We start from the raw sequence: 20,103 nt of genomic DNA, 5'->3' as shown, positions 1-20,103 counted from the left end.
CTGTACAGACGTACTGGCAGCAATATCAGTGGAGCCAGCAGTGACATCAGCCTTGATGAACAGGTAATTCTTATATGGGAGATCTCAGAGGTGAGGGACGTGGGTTGTGATTCCCAAGGATTTTTTTTTTTTTTTTGTGAAGTGCTAAGAGAAACTGATTTTTTTTTCTTTTTTTAGCACGGGGGAAGGGAAGGTTATAAATACCAGGTTTTCTGTTCTTTGTGGGTGGTTGAATGGCTTTGTTTTGCTCTCAGTACAAGCATCAGCTGGAGGAGACCAAAAAGGAAAAGAGAACCAGAATACCATACAAGCCAAACTATAGCCTCAATTTATGGAGCATCATGAAGAACTGCATTGGAAAAGAACTCTCTAAGATCCCCATGCCGGTAAGGTTCTTGCACACTGGAGCTGCTGCCAGGAGTTCCTCTCAAGCCTCAGTGGGAAGAGTGCTGATATGACAGCCCCACCCACTTGTGCGGCAGTTTGTGGCATGGTCTTTTTTACCTTTATAATCATAAACTGTTCCATAAATTTAGCTGCTTTAATTTTGGCTCTGGATCTGATATGTTCCCAGATCACCTAGAATCAGATGTATATGCTCAGTAGCAGTTATTTTTGAGCAAATTCCTATGCTAGATGCACTGGGGACATGCAAAGATAAATACATCATAGTTTCTGTTTTCAAGAAGTGTGTAGTTTAAAAGAGACAGACATGAAAACAGGTAGAAAACATTATTTTCTGTGATAGTATTATGGAAAGTACGACACAGACAAAGGCTTAGGGAACACAGAAGCAAAAATCGCTCATTCAAACCAGACAGATGACCATCCCCATGGCAAAGATGGTGTTTGGGCTGACCTCTCTGCCCCGTCATGTCTTCCTCCAGTCTGTCTACACTGTTGTCAGAGTGATTTTTGAAAAATGTCAAATGTAGTCATGTCAGTCCTCAGCTGAAAATCCTTTACTGGATCTTCATTGCTTTCATCATAGTCCAGATACCTTAGGGGGCTTGGTAACTCCTCCCCATGGGCGAGGCTCTACCCCACGCATCCCAAGTTCTAGTCATTAGGATTTCCTTCAGGCATCCTGTCCTTTCCCTCAGGGCATTTGTACACACTGCTCTTTCTGCCTAGACTTTTGTCAGTTCCCTATTAACACTTGCCACTTTTTTTCTGCTGTGGCTAATACCCATTTCTTGAGGATGCAGCTATAGTGTGTCTTTTTCAGCAAACCTCCAGTGCATCCTGTCAGGATGAAATGTCTCTCCTTTGTGTTCCAACAAGTTCCACTGTTGATGGTGTAAACAGTGTGTATCACTGCTTGTTCATTTCACAAGCATTTTCTGGGTGCCTACTATTTGCCTGATGTTGCGCTAGTTTTCAGTTAGGTATAGAAGATATAGGTTCAATTTATTAAAGAAACAAATTCATGGGGCCAACTGTGGGGTTGGGGAGACAAAAAAAAAAATTCAAAATATATCAGTTTAAGCCAGGGGTCATCACACTAAGGCCCTCAGGCCAACTCTGGCTACCATCTAAGAAGCATAATAGTTTGTGATGTGAAAATTAGATGAATTCAGTTGTTAACATCCATGACATTTTATAGGAGCACAATGATACTCTTTCATTTACGTATCATCTGCAGCTGCTTTCATCCTATAACAGCAGTGTTAAGTGGTTGTGACAAAGACCATATGGCCCTCAAAGCCTAAATATTTGCTATCCAGCCCTTTGCAGAAAAAGTTGTCAACCTCTGCCTTAAACAAATGTTGGCTTAACTCATTATGTTCAAGCCCAGAAGTAGGTGGTCCAGGGCTAGTGCCATACTCTATGGTGTCAGAGCCAGGCTTCTTTCTGTCCTGGGGCTCTGCTGCCTTTGGCCTCAGTCCTCAGGCCCAAAGTGGCTGCTCCAGCTTGAGTCATCAGAGCCTTATTCCAGCTAGCCGGAAAATGGAAAAAGAGGAAAGGCTGTACCATTTAAGGGTGCATCCTGGCTGGGTGCGGTGGCTCATGCGTGTAATCCCAGCACTTTGGGAGGCCAAGGCACGTGCATCACTTGAGGTCAGGAGTTCAAGACCAGCCTGGGCAAAATGGTGAAACCCTGTCTCTACTAAAAATACAAAAGTTAAACGGGTGTGGTGGTGCACACCTCTAGTCCCAGATACTCGGGAGGGTGATGCAGGAGAATTGCTTGAACCCAGGAGGCAGAGGTTGCAGTGAGCTGAGATCGCACCACTATACTCCAGCCTGGGTGACAGAGCTAGACTCTGTCTCAAAAAACCAAGAAGATACTTCCTGGAAGTTGCATAAATCACTATCACTTAAATCTGTGTGGCTAAAACTTAGCTATATGGCCACAGTTAGCTGGAGAGAAGGCTAGAAATGAAGACTTCTGTTCTGGATGGCATGGCCTTGTGAAAAATTAAGGGTTCTACCAGTTGTAGAAGAATGGAAGAATGGATGGTGGGGATGGGCGAGTGGCTACAGGTTTTGTCCACAGCCAGCTACTAAGCCTACAAAAATACAGAAGGCATTCTCCCTACCCTCTTGAAGCTATGGACCAATGTGTGGTTTCTGCCTCTTCATAGACTGCGTTCCTTGTGATCAGGGGCTACGTCTTGATGGTGTTTATAACCTTGATGCTTAGCCCTGTGCCTGGCATGTATAAATCATTTAGCAAATGTCGAAGTAATTAACTGGGTCTTGGAAAACAAATAGGTTTATGTACAAATATGTAGAATTTTTGTTAGAGAAGTGTTGGGCTGGGTGCAACGCAACACTTGGGAGACTGAGGCAGGAGGACTGCTTGAGTCCAAGACTTCAAGACCAGTCTGGGCAACGTGGGGAGACCCTGTCTCTAAAATAATAAAAAATTCGGCTGGGCACAGTGGCTCATGCCTGTAATCCTAGCGCTTTGGGAGACCAAGATGGGTGGATTGTCTGAGCTCAGGAGTTCGAGACCAGCCTAGGCAACATGGTGAAACCCTGTCTCTACTAAAATAGAAAAAATTAGTGGGGCATGGTGGCACGAGCCTGTAGCCCCAGCTACTCAGGATGCTGAGGCATGAGAATGGCTTGAACCCTGGAGGCAGAGGTTGTAGTGAGTCGAGATGGTGCCACTACATTCCAGCCTTGACAACAAGCGAGACTGTCTCTCAAAACAAAATAGTAATAAGTTAGCCAGCATGGTTATGTGTGCCTGTAGTCCCAACTACTTGGGAGGCTAAGGTGGGAGGATCACTTGAGACCGGGAGGTTGAGGCTGCAGTGAGCCATGATCTCACCACTGCACTCCAGCCTGGGTGAGAGCAAGACCCTGTCTCAAAAGAAAAAAAGGTTGACCTTCAGATAAGAAAAGGCCATGAGTAGCCTTAGGATAAACCTAAAATAATAATTAGTTTATTGGGGGCTTGAAAAGAAACCCCACTTGTCTGGAGTATTAGGTGCCTTGAAGGGAGTAGTGGGAAAGTGGACTGGAAAGGCATGTCATTGCAGTCTCAGGAATGTAGTTCCTGCTTAGAAACAGCTTCTGGTGCCATGCGCGGTGGCCCACACCTGTAAAAAAATCCCAGCACTTTGGGAGGCTGAGGCAGGCGGATCACTTGAGGTCAGGAGTTCGAGACCAGCCTGGCCAACATCTCTCTAAAAATATAAAAATTAGCCGGGCATGTTGGCGCGCGTCTGTAATCCTAGCTGCTTGGGAGGCTGAGGCAGGAGAATTGCTTGAATCTGGGAGGCGGAGATTGCAGTGAGCCAAGATTGTGCCACTGCACTCCAGCCTGGGCAACAGAGTGAGACTCCATCTCAAAAAAAAGAAAGAAATAGCTTCTGGGTCTAGGTGACTTCTCTGTCCTCCTTTACCATTAGTTCCTTATTGATCTTGCCTTTAAGAATGTACAGTCCTGTACCTGTTTGCCCGCAGATCAAGTCCTCACCCTTCCCCTACTCTAGGCTGTAACACAGGAAAACTAATCCCTCTAGGAAGTGTTTTTTCAGGCTTCCGTGGCTACTGGAGTCTGGCTGGGCTTCACTAATGCAAGATACCAGTAGGAGGTTATAGCCGTGGGAAGTCTCTCCCTCTATGCCCTCTTGAGTGGTGCTCTGGCGCACCTACGTGGCTCTAGTTTTCACTGGAGAGGCCTCCCCTGCCTTGATGTTTTACATTCTCCTGATCCTCCTCTCTTGGACCCCCACCTCTAGGCTGTAGTAATACTGCTGCTTCTCCCCATCTCTCCACCCTACCAATGGTTATGGCTTCCTGTTGCTGCTAATCTCTGGGTTGTCTTTTTTTTTTTTGGGTGCCTAATTTTTCATCAGCTGTATAGCTCCCTGCTTCCTTCTACTTTAAATACTCAGACTCATTTCTTTCCCTGTTTGGCTTTTGAGTAATAAAATGACCATTATAAGAAGCTTGGCACTTTTGGAGAAACTGGTTGTTGATGGGCAAGGCTGTGTGTGTGTGAAAAGCAGTGATAGCAATGTGCTGATTCTAGTCCCATGCACTGCTGGTATGTCTAGTACCACCAGTGGAGTACACTGCCTGTCCCCAGTTTTCCTCAAAATGTATGGAAATGTTACTTCGTATTGTCTAAATTCTGCCACGGACAGATTTTATTGGGTGTAGTTAATAAGTGCCCTCTTTAAAAAGAATCGAGGATTATGGCTTTTGCAGCGCGCCACCCCTCAGTGTGCATTTGTGTCATCATACTGCTTGTCTTTCAGTGTAGGGAAGAGGGCTCTGGGGTATGGCACACTGTTTTGGTGGGTCCTATTTCTCAAAGGATGAGTGTTGTTGGCTCTGTGGCTCTGTGTTCACTGGAAAATGTTCACAGAGAAACATTTGGGATATTTCTCAGAGAAAAAGCAGGCTCTAGTTTATGAATTTTATTTATTTATTTATTTATTTATTTATTTATTTATTTATTTATTTATTTATTTTTAGACAGAGTCTCGCTCTGTTGCCCAGGCTGGAGTGCAGTGGCATGATCTTGGCTCACTGCAACTTCTGCTTCCTGGGCTCAAGCCATCATCCCACCTCAGCCTCCCAAGTAACTGAGACTACAGGTGCACGCCACCACACCGTGCTAATTTTTGTGTTTTTTTTTTATAGAGATGGTGTTTTGCCATGTTTCCCAGGCTGGTCTCAAACTGCTGAGCACAAGCAATCCGCTTGCCTCAGCCTCTCAAAGTGCTAGGATTGTAAGCATGAGCCACCACACGTGGCCAAGTTTATTACTTTTAAAAATGTATGAATGTATAGAAACAAACTGAAAATGTTAATAGTGGTGATCTCATTTCAAGAAAATTTTTTCCTTGATACTTTGTTTTCAAAGTTTTTTACAGTTAAAAATTATACGATATTAATTTCATGATTGAGCGGGCGGTGGGGGGATAGCAAATATTAGGGTAATATGTAGCTCAGAGATTGGTGGGTAGAAGGGTGAACAAAAATGCCAAAAGAGATGGAACATCAGAAAGAAAAGTGTTGTGTTTTTTTTGTTTGTTTAAGTAAAGCGTTGCTTAAGGCCAGAACCATTCACTAAAAGGGAATTTTTTCTTTCTTCTTTTGTTCTCTGGACTTAGAACTCAGGCTAATAATATTTAGACTTGTTCATCTATATTGTTAATTAAATAAGCTTTATGGACTAACTTGGGAACCTGACTTGTTTTATAGTGAATTTTTACATAGTAAAATCATTTAAAATTTCAAAGTTAATTTTGAAGCTGACTTTTTTAGGGAGTAGAAGGGTGGGGAGCATGAACAATGTTTCTCACTCCCTACCCCTCCACTCCCCAAAAAAGTCAGCTTCTCTTGTTAACTTCTCTCTATCCAGTGGGTAGCATAGGGTCTGGCACACATGGGTACTCAATAAATATTTGTGGAATGAGTAAGTGAATAAATGAATGAATGAACATCTCCCCCAACAGAAGCCCCCAATTCCTGGCACACACACATAAACACACACATGCTTGCTTTATCCAGTACTTGGTCGCCTTAAGCTGGCTTCAGAATTAGAAAGGTAAGAGCATGCACAGCCCCCTCTCAACCCCCATCATGAGCACTTCACTCCCAGAAACACAATTATCCAGCCTCAGAGGAGAAATCAGAATCCTGGCCTGATGCAGAACTGAACTGAGATTTAGCAATTGTTTTGTCCAGGGTGGAAACTAACTTTTATAACTAGTCAGGATATAGCTGTACTTATAATTTACTACTGTTTCTTTCATTCTCCAAGAATTTTAAATACCTGATTTCCTCTCTGGGTATACTTGTGCTAAAATACATTGCATTTCTTTTTTAAAAAACTTATTCATCCAACACCTATTTGATGATAGTCTTCTGTGGGCCAGTCACTGATGGATCTTGGGTATGTAGCACTCAACAGAAGAGGCATGGTTCCCATCTCAAAGAGCTTACAGTTAGTGAAATGAAAACAGTGATTTCTGCCACTCACAGACATGAACAGTTGACAAGGAGAATGGGTTGTTTGCGGGTTAAATATTAGAGCCGCTCTACTGAGCAAAGCCCTCTTTTCCCAGTGATTTATTTCCTAAACTGCAAAAAAAATTAAACTGTCTCTTATAGATGAGTGAGCATAGTTTTTATATCTGTTCTTCTCCTTACAGGTAAACTTTAATGAGCCCTTGTCCATGCTTCAGCGCCTTACTGAAGATCTGGAATACCATGAGCTGTTAGACCGAGCTGCAAAATGTGAGAATTCTCTAGAACAGCTCTGTTATGTTGCAGCTTTCACCGTGTCCTCCTACTCCACTACTGTCTTCCGCACCAGTAAGCCATTCAACCCACTGCTTGGGGAGACCTTTGAGCTGGACCGATTAGAGGAGAATGGGTACCGATCCCTCTGTGAACAGGTAAAGGAACCTCAGAACCATAACGCATTTCCTTTCTGAAGAAAGAGATGATTTTTTGGTTAATCCCCTGGGTCTTATGTTTGCAGAAATTCTAGTCCCTGTCATCCCAGCTTTTATTCTTTTTCTTCAGAACGTCAGCGTTGGAGACCCTGGAGGTTCTGGGATTCACCTACTGTTGTGGGTGTAAAAACGTCAAGTGTGAATTTTGGTGTTTCTCACCAATTTATAGGCAGTATCTTTTTCTTCTCCTTTCTGCCGTCTTAATTTGAACCTGATTTCTTCAAGGTGAGTCATCATCCCCCTGCTGCTGCGCACCATGCTGAGTCCAAAAATGGCTGGACATTGCGTCAGGAAATCAAAATCACCAGCAAGTTTCGAGGCAAATACCTCTCCATTATGCCCCTCGGTAAGGTTACCATCTTTGTCAGAATTAATGCTCCTGGAATGAAAGGTTTTCTGGCACGATGGAGGAGGTCACTGGCTAAAGAGTCAGGAGACAGGAGGTCTGATTCGAGCACTGACCCTCACTAACTGGCTTTGGGCAGGTATTTAACTTTTCAGCTATCAAATGAGTGTGGAGGCTAGAAACTCTTTAAGGACCCATCTAGTCCTAAATTCTTTATCCTCTTAGCTATATTTAACGCATCTCTAAGCACTATTTAGAACACAAGTTCTAGCATGCATTAAAAAAAAAAATTCTGTCTCTTAACTGGTGGTGTTTTCTTCCTTACTTTGGCAGTCAGGTTCTCTCTGTAAATCAGAACTCATGATTGCAAGGTTAGGTTTCTTAGCTAATCCTTCCGCTTTCTCCTCTCCTTCCTCCCTTTTCCTCCACCTGATGGGTTAGGTATCATTTATGTAATGGCTGAATTCTAGGTCACTGAAACTTTATTTTAAAAAGATCTTACTTGGGGCTGGGCACAGTGCCTCACCCCTGTAATCCTAGCACTTTGGGAGGCCAGGGCAGGCAGATTGTCTGAGCTCTGGAGTTCAAGACCAGCCTGGGCAACATGGTGAAACCCTGTCTTTACTAAGAATACAAAAAAATTAGCTGGGTGTGGTGGTGCACACCTGTAGTCTCAGCTACTCGGGAGGCTGAGGCACAAGAATTGCTTGAACCCGGGAGGCGGAGGTTTCAGTGAGCTGAGATTGCACTATTGCACTCCAGCCTGGACTGTAGAGTGAAACTCTATCTCAAAAAAAAAAAAAAGGAAAAACCCAAAAAACAAAAACTCTTATTGGATTACAAGTTAATTTTGTGTCAGGATCAGTCCTGGGAATGGAATCCTAGTATACAATGTTAGAGATCCTATACCTTAGAAGAAATCCAGTTATTCAAAAAGTATGGTAGAGCTTCTCAATGCTTTCTTGAACTAGAGCAACCATGTTTGGCCAAGTGTGTGCTGAAGAGTAAAAGCTGCTCTACAAAAAGAGATCAAAGCACAAAGCAGTTAGAGAAAACAAGTAGCTCCCAAGAGACAGAGCTTACCATAACTCCCTGAGCTCCTGGTGGCTTTCCATTTCCAGGTTCTAGTCTTTCACGAGGTATAGCTACAGTTCTTAAATATTGCAATATAGACTGCTTCTTTAATGAATTCACCTTTGCTCAGAAACACAAATGCAGCAAACATAGTGCAAACTAGAAATTAGCCAGAAAAAAAGTTCATAAATGTTTTCTAACATATGTAAAGGGAGAAAAGAAATTGCAGTGTTACCTCTAATTTCATGGTTAATATGCAGAAGGTCCCTAAACGAAAAGGAGACTAAGTGATACATCAGTCTTGATCTTTACCAAGGACCTTTAAAAAGCTTCTACATGCTTAATTGTCTTTGCAGCTAACAATTTCAGAAGTATTAGCTTAAGAGTAGTAAATGCCTGAGATGTTAACATCTTATTTGCAGAATTTGGGTGTCAGTGGCCGTATTGCAATGTGATGTTTCACCATAGAGAAGAGTTTCAGAGGCCCCTTGAGGATCTCTAAAGGGAAGAATTATATTTCATTCCATGGGTGGTTAGGTACAGTCAGCCATCCATACCTGGGTATTCTGCATTCATGGATTCAACCAACCTTGGACTGAGAGTACTGGGGGCCAGGTGTGGTGGCTCATGCCTGTAATCCCAGCACTTTGGGAGGCCGAGGCAGGCGGATCACCTGAGGTCAGGAGTTTGAGACCAGCCTGGCCAACATGGTGAAACCCCGTCTCTACTAAAAATACAAAAATTAGCCAGGCGTGGTGGTGGGTGCCTGTAATCCCAGCTACTCAGGAGGCTGAGGCAGGAGAATTGCTTGAACCCAGGAGGCGGAGGTTGCAGTAAGCTGAGATCACGCCATTTCACTCCAGCCTGGGCGACAAGAGCAGAACTCCTCAAAAAAAAAAAAAGGAAAAGAAAATACTGAGGGGGAAAATAATAAAAAATAATGATACAAAAAAAGACCAAAAAATATATAATACCTATTTATATAGCATTTATATTGTATTATGTATTATAAGTAATCTAGAGATGATTTAAAGTATACAAGGGAGAGGAATGTGTAGGTTAGATGCAGATACTTTGCACCATTTTATATCAGTGACTTGACCAAATTGTGGTATCTGCAGGGTGTTCTGGAACCAATCTCTCACAAATACCAAAGGAAGAGTATTCATCTAAAAGATAACAATAAACTTAACTAATAAAATATTGTACATTTTCTCTATAATTTGACTAATCTAGGTTTCTTTGAGGAATGAATATATGAACATGGTATAGATGGTGGATCTAATTTTTTTTCTAATTTTTAGTAATTTGTTAAAGATCTAATTTTTTAAAGTTAAAACATTTATCCTAGGGAGACTTCATTTTAAAAATAAATTAAATAACAGGAAAACAAAATTAATTAAAAAGAAAACAATTTGATAGTATTTGCATTCCTATGCTTATTTAAGAATTTGGATCACCGGGATCCTGTTAAGTTCCTCCACATATCACCTGCTTAACTGAGTATCTGCCACATGGCGGGCATCGTTCTCAGTGTTTGGGAAATGTAAGTGAACAAAACAAAAATCCCCATCTTCATGGGGAGATTGAAGAAAGAATTGACTTTGTGATAGGAAGCTGAATATAGAAATCTAAAGAATGGAATTTCTAGGTATTTGCCCTGGAGATGGCTGTATTTAACACTTTTTGGCTCAGTGGCTTGGAAGGCGAATCATGTAGTGAAATTTTTACATTTGCCATGGCACTCAATTCTCAGAGAGAAAATTATTGTTAAGCCAGTAGATATAGCTGAAGAAAAATATATGGACAGGGTTGTGAGTAAGTGAGCAGATAGATGACTGGCAGTTTAATACACTGCTCCAGTGTATTCAGCATAAAGTAAGGCATCTAGGGAAAAGTCGTTCAAACTTTTATGTTGATAATTGAAGTAGCATTTGTTGAGTGCTCATTATGGGTCAGCCATTGATATAAGTGCTTTTCATGTATTAACTCATTCAGGCCCAACAATAATTCTATGAGATAGACACCTTTATTGCCATTTTTTAAACAAAGAAAACTAAGCATAGATAGGTTGGGTTGTCAGGGTCAACTTAACCAGCTAGTATGTGATCTGAGTTGAGGCAATCTGGCTTCAGGGACCCCTGTCATTATCGCTAGGCTGTACTGAAAAGGAGAGACTACAAGCCATCAGTTACAATTACAGTGCAAAAAGGACACTGAAGACATCAGCCTAATAGTCTCACTGAGGTCTGACAAGATAAGGCAGTTTTAAGGTTATTTGGTAGCAGGACAACTTTGTACAAAATTGTGGTTCTGTTAACTCCACTTTGAAAAAGTCATAGCCATGACTGAAGAAAATCTAATACCAATGAAAGTGCCTAAAGATATTTGGAGGCAGTGACAATGAGTGAGTCTCCCTATAAAATAGGCTAAAAAGATTAGAACCCTTGACATTTGGAAAGAAGAATGCTTCTAGAAAATATAACTGAAGTTTCCAAATAATGAAGGCTATTTTAAGGAGCAAATATGAATTTCTTTTTTTTTTTTGAGACTGAGTCTTGCTCTGTCACCCAGGCTAGAGTGCAGTGGCGCAATCTCGGCTCACTGCAACCTCCTCCTCCTGGGTTCAAGCGATTCTCCTGCTTCAGCTTCCGGAGTAGCTGGGATTACAGGTGCCCGCCACCGCACCCAGCTAATTTTTGTATTTTTGGTAGAGACAGGGTTTCACCATGTCGACCAGGCTGGTCTCAAACTCCTGACCTCATGATCCGCCCACCTTGGCCTCCCAAAGTGCTGGGATTACAGGCGTGAGCCACCATGCCCAGTGCAAATAAGAATTTCTTCATCGAGTTCTAGGATATAGAAACTAGCTGATATGCTTGAAGTTTAAAAAGGTGCATTTATTTTTATTTATTTATTTATTTTTTTTGAGACAAAGTCTTGCTGTGTTGCCCAGGCTGGAGGGCAGTGGTGCAATCTCTGCTTATTGCAACCTCCGCCTCCCAGGCTCATGCAATTCTCCTGCCTCAGCCTTCCAAGTAGGTGGGATTACAGGTGCCCGCCACCACACCCAGCTAATTTTTATATTTTTAGTAGAGACTGGGTTCCACCATGTTGGCCAGGCTGGTCTCGAACTTCTGATCTCAAGTGATCCACCTGCCTTGGCCTCCCAAAGTGCTGGGATTACTGGCGTGAGGCACCACCACGCCTGGCCAAAAAGATACATTTAATTAAGACTATTGGCACAGATGCAGTGGCTCATGCCTGTAATCCCAACACTTTGGGAGGCCAAGGCAGGAGGATCACTTGGGCCCAAGAGTCTGATACCAGCCTAGGCAACATAGGGAGACCCCCATCTCTACAAAAAAAAAAAAAAAAGAATGATTGCTTTGGCAGTCTTTTGCTTTCAGCATTTTGCATATATTATCCCACTGCCTTCTGGCCTCTATGACTTATTTTTCTTTTTGTCCTTTTTCCAATTTTTGTTTCTTATTTTTTTATTTTTATTACTTATTTTATTTTTTTCAGACGGAGTCTCGCTCTGTCACCCAGGCTGGAGTGCAGTGGTGTGATCTTGGTTCACTGCAACCTCCCGCTCCTGGGTTCAACTGATTCTCCTGCCTCAGCTTCCTGAGTAGCTGGGACTACAGGCGTGCACCACCACACCTGGCTAACTTTTGTATTTTAGTAGACACGGGGTTTCTCCATGTTGGCCAGGCTGGTCTTGAACTACTCACTTCAAGTGATCCACCTGCTTCGGCCTCCCAGAGTGCTGGAATTACAGGCATGAGCCACTGCGCCCAGCCTCCAATTTTTTAATTGTAAAATACACATAACATAAAATTTAGCACCTTACCCATTCTTAAGTGTACTGGTCAGTGGTATTAAATACATAATGTTGTGCAACCATCACCACCCTCCATCTCCAAAACTCTTGATCTTGTAAAACGGGAACTCTATATACATTAAAAAATAATTTTTTTTTTTTTTTTTTGAGACCGAGTCTCACTCTCTCACCTAGGCTGGAGTGCAGTGGCATGATCTCAGCTCACTGCAACCTCCACCTCCCAGGTTCAAGCGATTCTTGTGACTCAGCCTCCCGAGTAGCTGGGATCACAGGTACCCGCCTCCACACCCGGCTAATTTTTGTGTTGTTTTAGTAGAGATGGGGTTTCACCATGTTGGCCTGGCTGTTCTTGAACTCCTGACCTCAAGTGATCCATCTGCCTTGGCCTCCCAAAGTGCTGGGATTACAGGCATGAGCCACCACACCCAGCCAAAAAATAATTTTCTATTCTCCCTCCCCAAACCCTGGAACCCACTATTCTACTTTCTGTCTCTATTTTAACTACTTTAATTATCTCCTATAAGTGGAATCATATAGTTTTTGTCTGTTTGTGACTGGCTTGTTTCACCTAACGTAATGTCATCAAGGTTCATCCGTGTTGTAGCAAATGTCAGAATTTCCTTTCATTTTAAGGCTGAATAATATTTATCCTATTGTGTGTATGTACACATTTTGCTTATCCATTCATCTGTTGATGGACTCTTGGATTGCTTCCATGTTTTAGCTATTGTGAGTAACACTGCTGTGAACATGGATGTACAAATACCCTTTCATCTCTTTGCCTAAAGTCTTAAGAAAAAAAAATGTTTAAAAAACAACAAATATCTCTTTAAGACCCTGCTTTCAGTTCTTTGCAGTATATACCAGAAATGGAATTGCTGGATCACATGGCAATTATATTCTTAGTTTTTTGAGCAAACTACCATACTGTCTTCGACAATGGTTATACATTCCCACCAACAGTGCACAAAGGTTCCGGTTACTCCATATCCTTGCCAACACTTTTTAAAAATGTATCATAGCTATCCTAATGGATGTGAGGTAGTATCTCATTGTGGTTTGACATGCATTTATCTAATAATTAGTGTTGTTGAGCACTTTTTTATGTACTTACTTATCATTTGTATATCTTTGGAGGAATACCTATTCAAGTCCTTTGCCCTTTTTCTTTTTTTTTTTTTGACATGGAGTCTCGCACTGTCATCCAGTCTGGAGTGCAGTGGCGCAGTCTTGGCTCACTGCAACCTCCACCTCTTGGGTTCAGGTGATTCTCCTGCCTAAGCCTCCAGAATAGCTGGGATTACAGGCCCCCTGCAACACACCCGGCTAATTTTTTGTATTTTTAGTAGAGACTTAGTTTCACCATGTTGGTCAGGCTGGTCTTGAACTCCTGACCTCAAGTGATCTGCCTGCCTCGGCTTCCCAAAGTGCTGGGATTACAGGCGTGAGCTGCCGTACCCAGCCTCCTTTCCCCACTTTTGACTTGAGTTCTTTAGCTTTTTTTTGTTGTTGAATTTTAGGAGTTCTCCGTATATTCTAGATATTAATCCCTTATCAGATATATGATTTGCAAATATTTTCTCCAATTTCTAGAGGCTACATTTTTACTCTGTTGCTATTGTCATTTATTGCACAAATTTTTTTTAATGTTCAGGAGGTTTGCTTTGTATTTTTGTTGTTTTTGCATCTGCTTTTGGTGTCATAGCCAAGAAATTATTGCCAAACCCAATGTTGTGAAGCTTTTGCCCTATGTTTTCTTCTAAGAGTTTTATAGTTTTAGGTCTTACATTTAGGTCTTTCATCTATTTTGAGTTAATTTTTGTACATGGTACTAGATAAAGGTCTAACTTCATTCTTTTGCATGTGGGTCCATTTGTTCAAAAGACTGTCCTGTCCCCATTGAGTGGTCTTGGCACCCTTGCCAAAAATCATTTGACCATATATGAAGGGTTTATTTCTGGGCTCTTTGTTCTATTCCACTGGCCTATATGTCTGTCTTTATTCTAGTACCACACATTTTAGATTACTGTAACTTTGTATTAAGTATCAAAATCAGGAAGTTTGAGTCCTCTAGCTTTGTTCTTTGGCTATTTTGTGGTCCCTTGAGATTCCATATGAATTTTAGGATAGGTTTTTCTATTTCTGCAGAAAACATCTTGGGATTTGGATAGAGATTTCATTGAATCTGTAGATTGCTTTGGGTGGCATTGACAACCTTAACAATGTTGAGTCTTCCAATCTATGAACATAGGATGTGTTTCCATTTATTTATCTTAACTTTAATTTCTTTCAGCAATGTTTTACAGTTTTCACCTCCTTGATTAAGTTCATTCCTAAGTGTTCTTTTTGATACTATTATAAGTGGAATTGTTCTTAATATCCTTTCCAGATTATTCATTGTTAATGTATAATAGAAATGCACCTAATTTTTGTGTGTTGACTTTATACCCTGTTACTTTGTTGAATTCATTTATGAATTCTTTTTTTTTTCTTTTTTTTTTTTTCTTTATTTATTTTTTATTGATCATTCTTGGGTGTTTCTCGCAGAGGGGGATTTGGCAGGGTCATAGGACAATAGTGGAGGGAAGGTCAGCAGATAAACAAGTGAACAAAGGTCTCTGGTTTTCCTAGGCAGAGGACCCCGCGGCCTTCCACAGTGTTTGTGTCCCTGGGTACTTGAGATTAGGGAGTGGTGACGACTCTTAACCAGCATGCTGCCTTCAAGCATCTGTTTAACAAAGCACATCTTGCACCGCCCTTAATCCATTTAACCCTGAGTGGACACAGCACATGTTCAGAGAGCACAGGGTTGGGGGTAAGGTCACAGATCAACAGGATCCCAAGGCAGAAGAATTTTTCTTAGAACAGAACAAAATGAAAAGTCTCCCATGTATACTTCTTTCTACACAGACACGGCAACCATCTGATTTCTCAGTCTTTTCCCCACCTTTCCCCGCTTTCCATTCCACAAAACCGCCATTGTCATCATGGCCAGTTCTCAATGAGCTGTTGGGTACACCTCCCAGACGGGGTGGTGGCCTGGCAGAGGGGCTCCTCACTTCCCAGTAGGGGCGGCTGGGCAGAGGCGCCCCTCACCTCCCGGACGGGGCGGCTGGCCGGGCGGGGGGCTGACCCCCCCAACCTCCCTCCCGGACGGGGTGGCTGCTGGGCGGAGAGGCTCCTCACTTCCCAGACGGGGTGGCTGCCGGGCGGAGGGGCTCCTCACTTCTCAGACGGGGCGGCTGCCGGGCGGAGGGGCTCCTCACTTCTCAGACGGGGTGGTTGCCGGGCGAGGTCTCCTCACTTCTCAGACGGGGCGGCCGGGCAGAGACGCTCCTCACCTCCCAGACGGGGTCGCGGCCGGGCAGAGGCGCTCCTCTCATCCCAGCCGGGGCGGCAGGGCAGAGGCGGTCCCCACATCTCAGACGATGGGCGGCTGGGCAGAGACGCTCCTCACTTCCTAGATGTGATGGCGGCCGGGAAGAGGCGCTCCTCACTTCCTAGATGGGATGGCGGCCGGGCAGAGACGCTCCTCACTTTCCAGACTGGGCAGCCAGGCAGAGGGGCTCCTCACATCCCAGACGATGGGCAGCCAGGCAGAGACGCTCCTCACTTCCCAGACGGGGTGGCGGCCGGGCAGAGGCTGTAATCTCGGCATTTTGGGAGGCCAAGGCAGGCGGCTGGGAGGTGGAGGTTGTAGCGAGCCGAGATCACGCCACTGCACTCCAGCCTGGGCACCATTGAGCCTCATTTATGAATTCTATCAGGATTTCTTTTTTTGGTGGAATTCTTAGCATGTTCACATATGAGATCATATCTGCAAACACAGATAATTTTATCTCTTTCTTTCCATCTTGGATGCCTTTTATTTCTTTTTCTTGCCTGATTGCCCTGGCTAAAACTTCCAGTACTATGTTGAATAGAAGCAGTGAAAGTGGGCATCCTTGCCATGTTCTTGATCTTAGAAGAAAGTCTTTAAGTGTTTCACCATTGAGTATGATATTTGCTGTGGGGTTTTCATATGTGGCTTTTATTATGGTGAGGTATTTTCCTTGTATTTCTAGCTCGTTGAGTGTTTTCATTCTGAAAGGATGTTGAATTCTGTCAGATGCTTTTTCTGCATCAATTGAGATGATCATGTGTTTTTTCGCCCTTCATTCTGTTCATGTGGTGTATTGCATTTACCAGTTTTTATGTGTTCAACCATCCTTGCATTCCAGGAATAAATCCCACCTGGTCATGGTGTATAATCCTTTTAATATGCTGCTGAATTCAATTTCCTAGTTTTTTATTGAGGATTGTTACATCACTGTTCATAAGGGATATGATATTGGTCTGTAGCTTTGGGTTTTTATAGTGTCTTTGGCTTTAGTGTCAGGGAGTGCTGGCCTCATAGAATGAGATGGTAGTGGAGGAGGTATTGGTTAAGAGATTTAGGCTGGGTGCAGTGGCTTGTGCCTGTAATCCTAGTACTTTGGGAGGCTGAGGTGGGAGGATCGCCTGAGCCCAGGAGTTCAAGACCAGTTTAGGCAACATAGTGGAACCCTGTGTCTACAAAAAATAAAAAAATTTAGCTGGGCATTTTGGCATATGCCTATAGTCCCAGCTACTTGGGAGGCTGAGGAGGGAGGATCACTTGAGCCCAGGAGGTCAAGTTTGCAGTGAACTACGATTGCACCATTGCATTCCAGTCTGGGCGACAAAGTGAGATCCTGTCTCAAAAAAAAAAAAAAAAAAAAAAACACCATCAGGTGTGGTGGCTCATGCCTGTAATCCCAGCTCTTTGGGAGACGGAGGTGGGCAGATCACGAGGTCAGTAGTTTGAGACCAGCCTGGCCAACATGGCGAAACCCTGTCTCTACTAAAAATACAAAAATTAGCCAGGTGTGGTGGTGGGCACCTTAACCCCAGCTACTCGGGAGGCTGAGGCAGGATTGTTTGAACCCGGGAGGCAGAGGCTGCAGTGAGCCGAGACCGTGCCACTGCACTCCAGCCTGGGTGACAGAGCAAGACTCCATCTCGAAAAAAAAAAAAAAAAAAAAAAAAAACAGAGATTTAGAATATGTTTAGGTGGAGCAAATATTTCGAAGGTGTTTGTGAATATTAAATGAAATAATGCATGAGGAGACCATAGCACGGCACCTGGTACACAGCAAGTGTTCTCAGCAGAGTGGCTGTTATTATCATTGATGTCATAGCCTTCATTGTTGTGATCCTTATCTGCCAATTATTAGGGCTACTTTAATTTTTTGTATAAGAAACATGTCTAAACCACAATTGGTGAGTTATTTTTTATTAGTGGTTACAGAGAGAACTTAGGGTTATACTTTTACTGAAATCGACTTTATTTTTATTTTTATTTTTTATTTTTGAGACAGCGACTTGCTCTGTCGTCCAGGCTGGAGTGCAGTGATGTGATCTTGGCTCACTGCAACCTCCGCCTCCTGGGTTCAAGTGATTTTCCTACCTCAGCCTCCCGAGTAGCTGGGATTACAGGCGCACACCACCACACCCAGCTAATTTTTTGTATTTTTAGTAGAGATGGGGTTTCATCATGTTGGCCAGGCTGGTCTTGAACACCTGACCTCAAGTGATCTGCCTGCTTTGGCCTTCCAAAGAGCTGGGATTATAGGGGTGAGCCACCCCACCTGGCCTGGAATTGAGTATTATTAACTATATATCTTTTAAAATGTTTGATTATTTTGAATCCTCAATTATCTCTGCTGTGAAACCACTGATTTTGGTATTCATTGGAGATTGACTTATAAGAACAGGAGTCAGCTATATGTTTCAAGCATTTTATTAGGCAAATAAACAGACATTTACTGCACAACAGGACGTGTTATCCCAAGTTTATAGATGATAAAATCAAGGCCTTTGAAACATTCATAGTGCAATACTGTAATGCAATTCTGACACTACCCACCCAGAGTTCCCGCAGACTCCCTAAGTTAAGGGCATAGTACCCAACAAAATTGCCCTTGCTTCAGATGCCAGCAACAAGTTGGAGGCCCTAGGCCACCTGCACTTCTGATAACTGGCTATAAGTTCAGGAGTCCCCACAACTACCTCAGGTTTGATAATTCATTAAAATGACTCAACTCAGGAAAGTGCTCTACTTATCATTACCGTTTTATTATTCAGGGTACAAATCAGGGCCAGCCAAATGAAGGGACCCGTAGGGTGAGGTCTGGGAGGGTCCTGAACACAGAGCATTGTGCCCTGTCTCCATGGGATCAGGGCACATCACCCTCCTGGCACACTGATCTATTCACCAACCAGGAAACTCCACTGAGCTTTGGTATCCAGAGATTTTAGCAGGGCTTCATTATTTAGGTTTGATTGCAGGATTGAATTCAATATCCAGATCCTCTTTCATCCCCAGAGGTCAGGAAGTTGACCCAATATCAGGTGACTCAAAACCCTGTCTCTAATCACATGGTGGAGCCTGGCATCCTAAGTTATTAGCATTAGCTATCTGAGGCCCACCATGAGTCACCTCATTAGTATAAATTGTCAAGGTCCACCGTAAATAACAGAGATATTCCTGTCACTTGGGAAATTACAAGGGTTTTATTCTTCATTATACAACAGAGGGTCATACATCTAATGAGGACTAGAGTCAGGATTTAATCCAGTTCTGTCTGAATTCAAAGCCCCAGCTCTATCCACTATTCCATTTTTACAATTAAGGGCCTTAGATAAGTGGTTTGTTTAAGGTCACACAGCTAGTAACTTAACAATAGAGCCTGGTCCCGGTACAGACTACCAATGTGTGCTCCTTCCATAATGCAGTTACTTCCATGATGCATGTTGGGGTGCATTTGACTTGTTTCTGTAAATTTTGCAATTGTATTATAGAACACAGCGTCCTAGCTAAGGTATATCAGTTGCCAGGGTTTGTCATCATTTAGTTATGTTTTATTCATAGATTTTTGAAAGTCAAGTGAGAAAAATTCAGTCAATACTTCCAACATTTAAGAAAGTGTAAGTCCTTTTTGATTTATTGTTTTATTTCTAAAAGTAATAAATATCAATAGAAGGAAATTAATCCATTACTGTTTTGAGGCTGCATGGTGCTATTTTTCTGACATTTGGCTTAATTTGGATACCTCTTTCTGCTTCCAGGTACCATTCATTGTATTTTCCATGCAACTGGGCACCACTACACTTGGAAGAAAGTTACCACAACTGTACACAACATTATTGTGGGCAAGTTGTGGATAGATCAGGTGAGGAAAGGTACCCAAAGTGTGTGTGAAGTTTAAAAGAATACTTCTTTAGGTATATTTCTGCAGTATTTAGGACATGTGAACTGGTCTCAGAATGTTGCTACTGATTCATCAGTTTCTCCTAAGGAATTTCTCTCAGGCAGTAGCCCTACCTCTAACTCTCTAAGTTTTCTGTACCACAAATTATTGTTTATAAATGACCAAATTATAACATTCATCAATGACTATTCTGCTAGGACTGTGTTGGGTGCTACGACAGGTAGAAAAAACAAACGTGGCCCCAACTCTTAATCCTTTCATTATTCATCAAATATTTATTGCCAGGCAGTATGCTAGGTCCTGGGGATACAAAGTCTGATGAGATGTCCCTCAATAATTTATTATATCATTGGAGATACATGACCAATGTGTAGGTTGGAAAATGTGCAGCAACATACACTAATATAAAAGATGCCCTATGATAGTATCTAATTAATTGTCAGTTTTCTCTTAAGACAATGGTTGCAGCAAATTTAGAAAAGAGGGTATACTGTCTTCTGAGCAGTCAGGAAAGGCCTCACAGTAGATGTGGGAGTTAAGCTGAATCTTAAAGTGTGGTTTGGGATTTAGAAGATAGAAAGGAAGGGAAAATGGGCTGGGCATGTTGGCTCATGCCTATAATCCCAACACCTT

At 42.6% G+C, this 20,103-nt stretch overlaps 1 protein-coding gene and 1 non-coding gene across 2 annotated transcripts in view; both read left to right on the top strand.

The window, feature by feature from the left end:
• OSBP (oxysterol binding protein) overlaps positions 1-20,103 on the top strand; it is a 41,377-nt gene that overhangs the window by 14,893 nt on the left and 6,381 nt on the right. The window contains exons 6-10 of the mRNA NM_002556.3: positions 9-63; positions 255-386; positions 6,627-6,872; positions 7,158-7,278; positions 19,328-19,431. Of these exons, the coding sequence (NP_002547.1) occupies positions 9-63; positions 255-386; positions 6,627-6,872; positions 7,158-7,278; positions 19,328-19,431 (658 nt within the window). The remainder of the gene's footprint in view (positions 1-8; positions 64-254; positions 387-6,626; positions 6,873-7,157; positions 7,279-19,327; positions 19,432-20,103) is intronic.
• MIR3162 (microRNA 3162) lies at positions 5,724-5,805 on the top strand. Its single transcript, NR_036120.1, has one exon. It is a non-coding gene; the product is annotated as a microRNA 3162 (primary transcript).

This window comes from Homo sapiens, chromosome 11, assembly GCF_000001405.40.
Source record: "Homo sapiens chromosome 11, GRCh38.p14 Primary Assembly".
NCBI lineage: Eukaryota > Metazoa > Chordata > Mammalia > Primates > Hominidae > Homo > Homo sapiens.
The sequence above is the reverse complement of the archived record's forward strand: the minus strand, read 5'-3'. Positions and strand labels throughout refer to the sequence as shown.